Genomic DNA, 14902 nt, shown 5'->3' on the forward strand with positions numbered 1-14902 from the left:
CCATCTAAACTAAATTTTAAAAATGCCTTACCAAGGCAGGAAAATGAACTCCAGTATTTCAGAAAACTTTTCAACAAGGACTTAAGTATTCAGCTATATTAATTTTTCTACTTGGGACATGAATTTTCTCTCTAGCAGTTTTACCTAGTAAAACTATTAAAATCTATTTGTATTCCCAGGCCCTACATCCAACCAATGAAAGGGAAAAGCTCTAAAAATAAGCTTGCCCAACTAATAATAGCCTGAAAGGTAGCCTGAAACTACCCTTATTTCTGTATATATTTCTAACAATTCATATAAAACAAATCAGCATATATTAAACCCCTCCTAAGTGATCTTTATAATGTAATATTCATTAATATTACAGAACTGAACTCAGAATTTTAAAAAGTTTTACCAGGTTCAGACACATCCTTTACAGCTATAGCCAAGAGTAGTACAAAAACATAACATCTCTTCCCTAAAAGGGAAAAAACCTAGATAACTTATAATTAGATCCTTTTATTCAAGGTTATCAATAATAGAAATAAGAATTCTATTAAACTATGGTCATATGAGCCAAATTTCACTGAAACTATTCAAATATACATTTTCGATTTAAGTGAACTACACTATAGTAATTCATCTTCCATTTCCATTTTTACTCTTCAAAATTAAAGGCTATATTGTATTTGTAATGTAAATTATTATACTAATGTGAATTTCTATAGGAAGGTCATGAGACTTGCAAACATTTAAATATCACTTCAATATTTTACTTTAAAAGAGGAAACAAAACACAGTACCAAACAGATGATAACAGATATTCTTGGTGTTAAAGGAAAAGCCAGCAAAGATGTGAATTTCTAAAATAATCTGTACAATGCAATAACACTTCTTAGATCCTTAAAAACAAAATAGCAATTAGGTAATGACTAGGGTACTTTTCATACTTTTTCCTTCATATTTTCTTCACACTTTAACCACATGTACATCAAACTCTTTCAGCTACCACAGCATCTGAAAACCTAACTTTCCATAGTTTTACCACAAAGTATAAAAACATCAGTAATAAGATAGAAATTATTACTTCTGGTAACATGGCTCATTTTTACTTTAGCTTCCAAACAGTGAATCTGTTATAAAAAGGAAGTTTTCAATAATCAAGGGCACAATGTAAGTTACATATATACTTTTATTATTATATATAATTTTATCATATGCACAAATAACTCATAAATATGTATATAAAACTAAAATGTCCACAATTTTTCTAAAAGCACAATTCACAAATGCAATGAATTGGATAGCCATTGGCACATCAAAAATTTTAATAAGTATAAACTGGTCAATTCCAACCATTTGGTAATTTACAATGCAGGTTATCACAGTATCAAAATACACCTTATTAAATTTGTAAAGAATATGCTATGTTGCTAGCTTCCCAAACCAACTGTTTCTAACCAAATAAAGCATATTATTTATATTGGCATACTATACTCTTGCCTGACAGGCAATATTTTTAACTCTAAGAGGGGTAGGTAAAAGATCAGTTTTTTGGAAAATAAAAGATTTATATAAAAAGTCTGGATAAAAAAGCAGTGGTTTAGTACAGATGATTCAACTTTTGGTGAGGTTTCTGTATCTATTTACCTTTTAGACATGGGGAGACATGAGTGCTATGATAACATACGGTTTGGGGAAGGCAGATTTCTAAAGGCTTTTCCTAACTGTAGAAGCTTGTCAAATTTTTATATAACATACAATTTTTAACTGTCAAAGATTCTGTGAAAGTACACAGAAGCAGGTCCGTGTAATTATTTAAGAACAAGGTAGTTTAAAAAATGTGTTGTAAAGCATGGAAGAAAATAATAATAGGTAAGGAAAACCCACAAACATCTGACTCACAAATATTTTCTTATACAGATGCTGAGGTAGAAAAAGTCAAATATGCTTAAGAAGAAAACATACGAAGGATAGGTAAAGATATACAAGTTTTAAACTATGAAATTCCTCTAATGCAAATGAACTCAATACTGAATGACTTTTCCACAGTCCTCCATGCTTCCTTCCTTGCCATGGAAACGTTCTAATTAAATTGAAATTTAAATCATAACCAAATCCAAATGCCTAATAAAGTCCTTTCATCACTCTGTTGTCCTTCAGTTGTCTTTTATACTCTATCTGGTATTTTATAGATATTATTTGACTGGAATACTCATGTATCCAAATGTATATTTTAATTTTCTTCCTATTTAAGTGTCTTCAATTTCTATAGGAAAGAGGTCCTATACAGTTTCCATGCTGTAAACTGAATGAGGCTGAGTGTAGGATGAACATGGCAATCAGAGAAAGCTGCTAAATGAGCCTCTTGTTTGGAAAGAGATAAGCTTGAAGATAAAGGTACAGTCAGATAGGTGGCAGAAAGTCTCCAGACTGAAGGGTTTGAACATCACCTTATAAACAATGGTAAGTTACTGGAAGTCCTCGAGCAGAAAAGTAACAAGAGGAAAACAGTATTTTAGGAATACACATTTCAGAACATAAGCTGTAGGAGAAGAAACCAGAGGTAAGGAAATAAGTAGTGCCCAACAGAAAAAACAAACAACCAGTGGATGCAAGGCACTGCAAAAAGATAAAAAGAAGCCTAAGATCCTGTAATGGTAATCAACTGAAAGTGGGAGAAACATGAAGAACCTAAAATGCCTCTGACATTTCAAGGCTAAATAACTTAGGACAATAGTGTATTCCCTGGGTAGAAAATGAAAGCAGGAGGTAGTCTGAGATTTCAGGAGACTCCAACTACAGAGGTTTAGAGATGAATTAGCACTAGGTGGCTCATCACGCCTGTAATCCCAGCACTTTGGGAGGCCGAGGCGGGCGGATCATGAGGTCAGGAGATCGAGCCCAACATGGTGAAACCCCGTCTCTACTAAAAATACAAAAAAAATTAGCCGGGCGTGGTGGCGGGCACCTGTAGTCCCAGCTACTTGGGAGGCTGAGGCAGGAGAATGGCGTGAACCCGGGAGGCAGAGCTTGCAGTGAGCCGAGATCGTGCCACTGCACTCCAGCCTGGGCGACAGAGCAAGACTCTGCCTCAAAACAACAACAACAACAACAACAAAAAAAAAAAAAAAAAAAAAAAGAGAGAGAAAAGCTGGAGTTATCAGTTCACCACTAACAGAATGTTGAGACAAAGCAGATGAAGGGTCGTATCTTACGACTGGGGACAGGAAAGAAGACCATGAAGGTGCTCTCAAGATACAGTGGTCATTTTTGGTCTGGGGACTGGTTCCAGGATCCCCTGTGCATACCATAATCTGCACTTACTCAAGTCCTGCAGTTAACCCTGAGGAACCTGCCTCTACAAAAAGTTGGTCCTCCATATACTCAGATTTTGCATCCCACAAATACTGTATTTTAGATCCACATATAAGTGGACCTGCACAGTTCAAACTTGTGTTGCTCAAGGGTCAACTGTATATGTAGGAAGGAGCAGTACCATTGTGGAAATGATGGGAAGATAAAAGAAAATACAATTGTCACAGAGAGGACAAAGAACATGAGAAAGGAGAACAAACTCAGATTTGACCAAAAGACAATGGCTTGTATTACACTGGTAGAAGCAGCAGCCTCAGAAATTACAGGGTATTTAGGGAAAGTGGCTATTAAAGAAGCAGGTATAAGGGACTCCAAGTCTGGGAATGAAAGAGGGCAAGATTGTAGTAATAAGTGAAGGATCAGTGAAGATTTTAAAAAAAAGGAACTGAGCCATAAATTTTCTTCTTTTTTCAATTTAAAAAAAAGCTTTAAAAAAAGTTACTTATACATAAATACAAAACATATAATACACACACATATTGTTACACACTTTGTTGTTACCATTCTTAAGTACAAATTTTAGTTATTCTTAGTATCTATAGATATATGTCCTAAAGCATGATTCAGTAGCAGCTTTTCCTATCCTTTAAACGTTTTCATACTCTAAGGAGCAAGATTCTCAAAGGTATCTTTATCAATCTCCTTTGGAAAAAAAAAACCCACACACACACACACACACACACACACACACACACACACACAAAAACACATATACACATAAATAACCTCTTTAAAGGCATCACCTTAAATAGATAAAACTCCTTAGTGACTGCTGGAACTTTCCAAGCCATACATTATTTGTTTAGTAAGTCACTATCATGATGAAAAGAAATTCAGTGTTATGAAGTCTATTAAACAGCCTTAAGCTTTCATTTATTCCCTTTGATGAAGCTGATTTGAGAGAAGGACCATTTATATGTTATGAAAATAACAGACACTCCTTTGGATTTCACAGATTATAATTAAGAGAACGCTATTAACTACAGAATACTGATTGCAAAGTATTTCATTTTTAAAGATACTCCTTGAGCCAGAGAAGGGTTGAAATGTTTTCTTGAAGGAAGAGTAGAACCATGATAAAGACTATAATCCCAAGAAGGAAACAAAGTACTTCAAAGTTAGAAAACATGATGTAAGAAAACATTGGAAAGTGGGATCATTCATCTGGGACATATCATTAGAGAAAGATAAAATTGAGAGGTGTTCTTTGCCTTAATTGTGCACGAGTAATAAACTAATCGTGTCTGTACATTTCCCAACAGAATTTGGGCCACCAAATATTTTCACGTACATTATCCCATTGATTCTCACAACAACACTGTCAAATAGTAAAGGGATTCTTCTTTTCTTCTCCATGAAGAAACTAGACTGAGAAAGGTTACGTAACTAGCTCAAGATCATAAAGCAAAGCTGAGTTTGAGACCCAGGTGGGTTCCCAAAACTAGGACTGGAGCTCTTTCAACCAAATAATGCTCAATAGGAAAAGGAGTCAAGGACAAGCTCCAACTGGTAAAACAATCTGGATGAGTTAAGAGTTCAAAAGTTGAGAAACAATGTTGTTAAAGGAAACTAAACAGGTTTCTTGGATAAAATGCTAAGTTATAAGAAGCTCTGGCTAAAGAGCAAGAAGATGGATCAGCTGACTTCTCAGACCACTACTATTGTTACTTTTCTAGAATATTTTTATTTACTCTCCTCTTAAAGTCTCCTTTATTTCCTCCTCCTGATATGATTTTTTTTTTAATGACAACTCCAAAAGAAAGGATGAATAAAAAAAAAATTTGGCAACTCTTGGAACCTAAATATAAACCCTGTTGGCATGTTTACACTTCTTTTTGGATATCAGCTGTATAATCCTTTAGCCAGATTCAGTCTCATTCCTAACACAGTTAAGTGTGCTTTGTAAGGGTTTTCTTTGTTAACTTGCCTCACACATATAAAAAAGAAAAACAAATACACAGTCACATTTCCCAACACCTTTCCCCCACCAAAAACACAGTATAGGGTAGCCAGGTACTTTGAAAAAGTATCATTTTAAAACATAACTATTATTGTAAAAATAAAAAATAAACATGACAAATCAGTCACAAGGCAGGGAGGCAGGAAGTCATACTACAACAAAAAGTCTATGGATGAAGTATCTGCTTAATACTCACACACAGAAAACACTCTCAGAAAATGTTTCTTTAATTTAGTTTAACTAAAATTTCATCAAGGTAGAATGCAGTTTTGTAAAAAGTTCCAAGGATCCTATTACACAGTTGCTAATTAACCTTCAGTTCCTTATTTATACATTTTTTACTTACAGATATAAAAGGAAAAAAAATCCTAGAAATTATTTTAAACAGAACATTATACAATTAATTAAAAGTAGGAATTAGAGTGGAACAATGTGGCTTTAGATACTGATAATTAATAGACAGGATGAATCACAAAATATATTAAGTATTATCATTTTCCAGTCTCTGCATCTCATCTTGTCCCATCTGTCCAAGGTGAGACAAAAGTTTGCTATAGGCTTCCCTGTTTAAGAAAAAAGAAAAGAAAGCAAATATATTAACATTTTCATTATTTTTCATTTCAGTATTTACAAATTAAGTCTGCCCATCATCCATCCATCCATCTATTCAGCCATCCATCCAGCAGGCTTAGCACAACACTTCTTAAAAAGTAATGCTTTATATCTATTGTGAGTAAACCTAGATGTTAAGATGTATTAAAGTATGATTTTTATATATAAAATGTGTGCTAAAAATGACATGTAAAAGTTCATTAACCTTCCGAAATATTATAATGCTCACGGGTAATAAAATGCATTCATGGAATATTATTTAAGGACAATGATGGTATGATTACAATGGGAAGACTTGTATCACAAGCGTAAGTATTAAAACAAAAATTCTGTAACCATAAAATAGACCTGTGTAGCAATTTCAGTATATATCCCATTTTCTTCTTTTAACTTCTTATAAGTAACAAAGTTTGAAAATAAAATATTGTTTCTCCTCCTACATTCTCTAGTACTTCCCTGTATTTGGAAGGTGTTTTAGATGATTTATTGTGCCTAGTAGTTATCTCACTAGTCTAAATACCTGTTCTGTTCAGAATCTTTAGAACCAAACTTCTTATGGGCCTGCATAACCACACAAGGTAGTAGGCCAGAATATTTGTTTTAACAACATACTGCATTAGGGTGGTTCACACACAGCCTCTCTAGTTTTTTCACTCAAATTTGAAGACTGCTCAGAGAAGCCAGATGTGAGACATGTCTGTGCATGAGCTTGTTTTGTGACATGACAATAAACACCATTTCTTCAAGCTACAATTTGAAGTGATTCAATCTTCTCTCCTTAGAAAACCACAGGAGGCTAGCCAAGTCACCATGCAGAAGAAAGGAGATGTTCCATTCTGGCATACAAAAGCTTTACAAGGATGATCTCTCCAGTCCGCACCCCCTGCCTTTTATATGAAATGGCATTGAAAAAATGGATTCCATTAGTTAGCTAAAGCTATAATCAACATAGTCATGTCTTCAAGAAAGATCTCATATATTGTTTAATAAAAAATTTTTGTCTAAAAATTGGAATATGCATATTCATTAGAGTGTGTATTTGTACAGATAAACAGACACACATGCATATGATTATAGTCATGCACTACATTAAAAACATTTTGGTCAATGATGGGCTGCATTTTGGTCAATGATGGATCCCATTAAGATTATAATGGTACTGAAAAATTCCTAATGCCTGGTGATGTTGTAGCCATTGTAATGTCTTAGTGTAATGCCTTACTCGTGTTGTTTGTGGTGATGCAGGTATAAACAAACCTATTGTACTGTCAGTCATATAAAAGTCTAGCACACACAACTATACATAGTATATAATACTTGATAATAAGAAAGAATGTTACTGGTTTATGTATTTACTATACTTTACTTTTTATTGTTATTTTAGAGTGTACTCCTCTTTATACTTATAAAAATAAAAGTTAACTGTAAAACAGACTCAGGCAGGTCCTTCAGGAGGTATTCCAGAAGAAGGCTTCCTTATTGCAGGAGACGACAGCTCCATGTGCGTTACTGACCCTGAAGACCTTCCAGTGAAGTAAGATGTAGAGGTGGAAGACAGTGATGTTGATCATCCTGACCCTGTGTAGGCTCAGGCTAATGCGTGTGTGTCTTCATTTTTTACAAAATAGTTTAAAAATAAAAAATAATTTAAAAATAGAAAAAAGCTTATTCAAGAATATAAAGAAAGAAAATATTTTTGTACAGCTATACAATGTGTGTGTTAAGCTTTTTTACAAGAGTAAAAAAGTTAAAAAAAGAAAAAGTTTAAAAGGTAAAAAAGAGTAAGCTAAGGTTAATGTATTATTGAAAAACTAAAAATTTTAGAAATAACTAATGTACTCTAAATGTATTATGTTTATAATGTCTACTACAATAGTGTACAGTAATGGCCTAGGCCTTCACATTTATCACCACTCACTCGCCGACCCACCCAGAGCAACTACTAGTCCTGCAAGCTGCACTCACGGTAAGTGCCCTATATAGGTATACCATTTTAAAATCTTTGCTACCATATAATTACTGTACTATGTTTTCATATATTTAGATACACAAATACTTACCATAAGTTACAACTGTCTATAGTATTCACTACAGTAACATGTTATACAAGTTTGTAGCCTAGGAGCAATAGGCCACACCACATTGCCTAGGTGTGTGGTATAGGCTATTCCATCTAGGTTTGTGTAAATATACTCTATTTGATGTTCACAAATGATGAAATCGCCTAACTACACATTTCTTAGAACTTATCCCTGTCGTTAAGCAACACATAACTGTATTTTGATTCTTTAATAACCTTTAGGACACAAAAATTCCACTGTGAGTACTGACTACTCTAAAACAATTTCTTTAAGAAATAAATATAGGCTTATTCCCACAATGTTGAGACTCTAAATAGTCCAGCACTATTTTCAGTTGAGTTATGAGCCTATTAAAAAAAAGTCTTATTTCCTATTTTTGACCAAAACCTATACTGTCTAATTGGGTCACTTATTCACTAGATACACATGATACAGTTGACTAAATAAATCAAGCATCCCTCAAACGGTTATGATTTGCCACCATAAATTTTATTAAAAAACAAGACATCCAAGGCTATGAAGTCCACTTCCCAATGAGGAACACTGAAATGCGTTTTGAGCAACAGCAGCACTGCTGAAATATACAGCTTTCTAAAGCGGTCACTTTGAAAGGAAAAACATGCAAATTTATGTATTGATTTTGCTAAGTTTGCTGATGAGCCATGCTACTTCTATTCACACTTTGTAAAACTGATAATCACAGTACTGAAACATTTTTCATCTCAAAAGAACATACCCAAATTTTGGGGAATAAGAAAATAAATCATTTCTATAAAATGAAATATAAATTTTATAATCACTGCCCCCCCCAATGTAATTAAATTATCAAACATACCTTTGTGCTATATTCCTGCCAAGGCCCCATTTCTGCTCTGAATCCTTCAGAGACTGAGTAAGGGTAGAAATCAAGTGGATGACAACCTGCTGGTCCAATGTTGCTACTGTTTCTAAAATGCTGTAAACCTGGTAATAGTACCTCATACCATAATCCTGGATAAACTGCCTGAAAGTAAAACAGGTTTATTTAGGATTACTCCTGGGGCAATTCCTTGTGTTGGTATCTACGTGGCAATCAACTATGAACTGAACATAACAAAGATCATTTCATAAAAGTTTACTGTAAGAATCTGGATGCAATATGAAAACTATTTAAAACACTTTAAAATAAAGAATTGAAGTGGCTTATTTAAGTTGAGCCATGACCAGAGTGAAAGCACTGTGGGGAGGAGCAGGGAAGGGAAGAGTTGGAAGCTTGGGAGGGAGAAGAAGGGGTAAAAATCTAATCCCGGGACTTTTTTGCAATATTCTACATATTGAATCTGAGTGGAAAGGATATGGGAGACAGTAACAGAAAAAAGTCAGATTTCCTAGTTATTTTTTAGTTCTTTGTAGCTCTATATAAGTCAAACAATATTTTTATGAGGAAAGCAAGTTATTCCTAATATATTTTATGTTCCTTAACTGAATAAAAGACTTTAGACCCATAGAAGGTCTTTATAAATAAAAATTCTATATTTAGCCTTAAAACCTCTACCCTCCACTACCAATCAACAAAATGAAAAGCCACCTCGCTTAGTAAATTATAGATAACATTCAATCTTTGATCATAGAAAATCCTTTTCTCCCCTCCTAGGGCTTCACAATTTTCACAAATCCATTGTTACTGACTGATCACAATTTAAATAAACTATAAACACTTGACAGGCACTAATTATGTGATGAGAAAAATGGAGGTATCAAAGATCCAACATAGAATGAAGGAAACGAACGCAAATTATTTCTCATGGTAGTGGTAAGGCAGAGATAGGAATAATAAAGGTGAACTGGAAGAAATCTTCAGAAAGAAATACAAAAACGTATTGCCCTAACAGCACAAGACTCTAAAGGGAACAAGACAGGGAAGAAAAAGAAAATATGCCTCAAGTTGCACTGTTATTCTTATGAACAATAGATCTACTTCTATAAAGTCCATGCTTCACAAATTAAACATAACGGAGCTTTCTGAAGCTACAGTTAGTATACTAAAGCAAGTCAGAAAAGCAGTGACATGTACTTCTACAATGGATCCAGCGGAACATGTTTAGCAAGGTCTGAAGGCCTGTGTACCTGTCATCATGACTCACATTTCCCACTTTACTCTCTCAAACCCAGTCTAGGACCACGTAATGACATTTCAGTCAATGACAGATAGCATGTACAATGGTAGTTCAGTACAATAAGATTAAAATACTGCATTTTTACTGTACCTTTTCTATGTTTGGATACATTTAGATACACAAATATTTACCACTGTGTTACAACTGCCTACAGCATTCAGTGCAGAGACATGTTATACTGATTTGCAGCCTAGGACCATTAGGCCATACCATATAGCTTAGGTGCAGAGTGGGCTATAGCACCTAGGTTTGTATAAGTACACTCTATTTGATGGTCACACAATGGTGAAACTGGCTAACTATACATTTCTCAGAACTTATCCCTATCGTTAAGAGACACATGACTGTTCATGCAAGATTCTTCCTCACTAAATTCACAGGTAATTTTAAGTCCCCTCACTTATCTTTTTCACTGGCACTTTTATTTTTCAATAAAACATCACAGTGTAACAAAACTACTGCCAAAAATACAATAATTGAAATACTATAAACAAGTAGTAACACATTATGTTTTGGATAATTAGTTATTTAAAAAACATGTTGGCTGTCAAATGGCTGGCAATAGTTTCCTTGCCAGGTGGCATATTTTCCAGTTACCTAAACACAGAAGTCAGCTGGGAGGAAGGTTCTTCTTCTGACCCCACTTGGCAGGCTTTTACCATGTATTGCAGGTTCTCTGTGGCCAGCCTTTTAACTAGAAGGAAAAATTACAGCATTAGGCACTGTGTCTGAATTGACCATCTGGATCCTCATTTTTATGAACACTCTTGATTTAGAAAAATATGTTGTTTTCTTAAAGTATGTACATCCTTTTTCTATTTTTCAAAATGAAATAGTTCTAAGTTTTTGTTTTATTCTAAAGTATACCTATCTTCCATTTTAAGAAAATATAAAAGTTTAAAAGTCTACTTTTTAGTCTGAAATAATACATGAAGACCTATTTTTCTCTTAGAAAGGTGCCCATATTCAAAAAAGTTACACCATCCTAATCCTACAAACAGTAACATACCGACAAAAGAAAGCCTTTACAAATTCAGCTGATTTACAGACAGGCAGATTGATTTTTTAAAAATTCATAAGCATATTCCTCCCACCCCCTCACAAACATGTAAGTAGCAAACTAGATACCGTGAACAATTTCTTTTCACTTAAAATTAGCCAAATATGTATGCAAAATGTTGTTTGTGATGCTATCTTCCTTTCAAAGGATAATAAAGTATAAAAAGAATACTTACATTCTTTAAATATTTAACTAAATCCTTTAAAATTGTGTGCTTGTACACAAAAATAATGCAAAAATACCAAGAAAGGATGTAGAAAACCCAATATGTTCTGAATGCTACTAAATTCTTATGTTGTTTTTGACACATTAAATATAAGAAACCAGAGAAAAAAGTGCTTTTTCCAAGAATAAAAAAAAGTTCAGAAACTGTAACCCTAAATTATAGCAGGAGCACAAAATATATGATGAACATGAACATAATGAATATTAGGTAGTAGAGAATGTTTTCCATGCGATGAGGCTCGTGGCTAAGGAACACACAGCATCCTTGCCTTTTACTTGAAAACTTTTTACAACTTTTTAAAATAACTTCTCATTTTAGATGCAGTTTCTTTTTTCTTTAACTGAACTACCTTTTTTTTTTTAAAAAAAATGAGTATTTTCTTTTTTTTTTTTTTAAGAGGCAGAGTCTTGCTCTGTCACCCAGGCTAGAGAAGTGGTGTGATGATAGCTCACTCTAACTTCCATCTCCTGGGCTCAAGCCATCCTCCCACCTCAGCCTCTCAAGTAGCTAGGACTACAGGTGCATGCCAGCATGCCTGGCTAATTTTTTAAAAAAGCTTTTTGTAGAGATGGAGGTCTCGCTATGTTGCCCAGGCTGGCCTCGAACTCCTAGTCTCAAGTGATCCTCCCACCTTGGCGTCCCAAAGCACTGGGATTACATGTGTGAGCCACCACACCTGGCCTTTTTATTTCTTAAAAGAAGAGCTTTATTGTCATATAATTCACATACTATATAGTTTACCCATTTAAAGTATACTGTTCGATGGCTTTTAGTATATTCAGAGTTGTACAACCATCATCACAATTTTACAATATTTTCAATATCTTGAAAAGAAATTCCACACTCTTTAGCTATCCCGATTCCTTCTAAGCAATCCCTTAACCTACTTTCTGTCTCTACAGATCTTTTTTTTTTTTTTTTTTTTTTTTTGAGACGGACTCTCCCTCTGTTGCCCAGGCTGGAGTGCAGTGGCATGATCTCAGCTCATTGCAACCTCTGCCTCCCGGGTTCAAGCAATTCTCCTGCCTCAGCCTCCCGAGTAACTGGGATTACAAGTGCATGCCACCACGCCCGGCTAATTTTGTATTTTTAGAAAAGATGTGGTTTCACCGTATTGGCCAGGCAGGTCTCGAAATCCTGACCTCAAGTGATTCACCTGCCTCAGCCTCCCAAATTGCAGGAATTACAGGCGTAAGCCACCATGCCTAGACCTGTCTCTATAGATTTAACTATTCTGGATATTTCAAATAAATGAAATAATATGTGACTTTTGTGACTGGCTTCTTTCACTGAGAATAATGTTTTCAAGATTCATCAATGTTATAGCATGTTTCAGTACTTCATGCTTTTTTATAGCCAAACAATATTCCATTGTATAAATATATCAAAATTTTTAAATTGATCCATCAAACGATGAGTATTCTACTTTTTGGCTATAATAAACAATACTGCTATAAAAATTAATTTACAAGTTTCTGTGTGGACATATTTGTTCATTTCTCTTAAATATATATATATATCTAGGGGTGAAATTGCTGGGTCATACAGTAACTCCATATTTAACCGCTTGAGGAACTACTGGACTATTATCCAAAGTAGCAACATGATTTTACATTCCCAATGGCATTAAATGAGAGTTCCAATTTCTCCACATCTTCCCCAATCTTTTTCATTATCTGACTCCCTCATTATAGCCAACCTTGTGGGTATGAAGTGATATCTCGGGGTAGTTTTGATATGCATTTCCCTGGTGACTAATGATGTTGAACACCTTTTCTGGTGCTTATTGGCCGTTTATTTTCTTTGTAGAAATGCCTATTCAGATTCATTGCCAATTTTTAAATTCAGTTATTTGTCCACTTATTCTTAAGAGTTATTTATATATTATAGATGCACACTCCTTATCACATATAATTTACAAGTATTTTTTCCCATTTTGTGGGTTGTCTTTTCACTTTCTTAACAGTGTCCTTTGAAACACAAAAGCTCCTAATTCTTGATGAAGTCCAATTTATCTCTTCTGTGGTTCATGCTTTTAGTGCCATAGCTAAGAATCTGTTGCCAAATTCGAGGTCATGAAGATTTTTTTCCTATATTTTCTTCAATGACTTTTACAATTTTAGCTCTGACACTTAGGTCTATGGTTCATTTTAGGTTAGTTTTCGTATGTGGTAGGAAACAAGGGTCCAACTTCATTCTTTCGCATGTGGCTATCTGACCTAGCAAAATTTGTTGAAAAGACTACTTTTCCCCAATTAAATTGTCTTGGCACTCTTGTCAACAAACAAAAAAACCCCAGTTGACCATAAACATGGGTTTATCTCTGAACGCTTAATTCTATTCTATTGACCTACATATCTATCTTTATGCCACTATCACACTGTCTTGATTACTGTTGCTTTGTAACATGTTTTGAAATCAAGAAGTATGCGTTTTCCAGCTTTCTTCTTCTTTTTCCAAGATTGATTTGGCTATTCTGGGTCCCCTGTAATTCCATATAAATTAGTAATTCATATGGAGCTATTAGTATAGTCACTTAAGCTTTCTGTGGTTGCTGTTTGCACAACTATCTTTTCCCATCCTTTTACTTTCAATCTATTTATATCTGTGAATCTATAGTGTTTCCTGTAAATACCATATGGGTAGATCTTGTTTTTTTAAGAATCCATTGTGATCATCTCTGCCTTTTCATTGGACTGGTCAATCCTTTCACATGGTATTATTACTGATATAGTTTGATTTACATCAGCAATTTTACTTTTTGTTTTCTTAATGACTCGTGTTTGTTTCTTTAATCTCCTTTACTGTTTTCTTACTACATTAAGTGAATATTTTTTAACGTAGTCTTCCAAATTTTTAAATTGTTATTATTACTATAAGTTCTGGGGTACATGTGCACAACGTGCAGGTTTGTTACATATGTATACATGTGCCATGTTGGTTTGCTGCACCCATTAACTTGTCATTTACATTAGGCATTTCTCCTAATGCTCTCCCTCCCCCAGTCCCCCACCTCCTGACAGGCCCCGGTGTGTGATGTTCCCCTCCCTGTGTCCATGTGTACTCATTGTTCAACTCCCACTTATAAGTGAGAACACGCGGTGTTTGGTTTTCTCTTCTTGTGTTAGTTTGCTGAGAATGATGGTTTCCAGTTTCACCCACGTCCCTGCAAAGGACATGAACTCATCCTTTTTTATGGCTGCATAGTATTCCATGGTGTATATATGTCACATTTTCTTTATTCAGTCTATCATTGATGGGCATTTGGGTTGGTTCCAAGTATTGATGACTTCACAATAGACTTCGCTATTGTAAACAGTACTGCAATAAACATATGTGTACATGTGTCTTTTTAGTAGAATGATTTATAATCCTTTGGGTATATACCCAGTAATGAGATTGTTGCATCAAATGGTATTTCTAGTTCTAGATCCTTGAGGAATTGCC

The 14902-nt window shown here is 34.5% G+C and overlaps 1 protein-coding gene across 19 annotated transcripts in view; it reads right to left on the reverse strand.

The window, feature by feature from the left end:
• Positions 1–1156: 1156 nt before the first annotated feature.
• Positions 1157–14902, reverse strand: part of MMS22L (MMS22 like, DNA repair protein) — a 141875-nt gene continuing 128129 nt past the window's right edge. For 8 of the 19 annotated variants that reach the window (NM_001350600.2, XM_047418577.1, NM_001350599.2 and 5 more), the window contains 3 exons: positions 10767–10863; positions 8849–9016; positions 1157–5883 (listed from right to left, as the gene is read on the reverse strand). In NM_001350600.2, coding sequence (NP_001337529.1) covers positions 5802–5883; positions 8849–9016; positions 10767–10863 — 347 coding nt within the window. In that variant the 3' untranslated portion in view covers positions 1157–5801. Of the gene's footprint in view, positions 5884–7627; positions 8617–8848; positions 9017–10766; positions 10864–14902 lie in introns of those variants that run through there. The other 11 variants (XM_011535674.4, XM_011535670.3, XM_011535672.4 and 8 more) reach the window with 5 other exon arrangements.

This window comes from Homo sapiens, chromosome 6, assembly GCF_000001405.40.
Source record: "Homo sapiens chromosome 6, GRCh38.p14 Primary Assembly".
NCBI classification, from domain to species: Eukaryota; Metazoa; Chordata; class Mammalia; order Primates; family Hominidae; genus Homo; species Homo sapiens.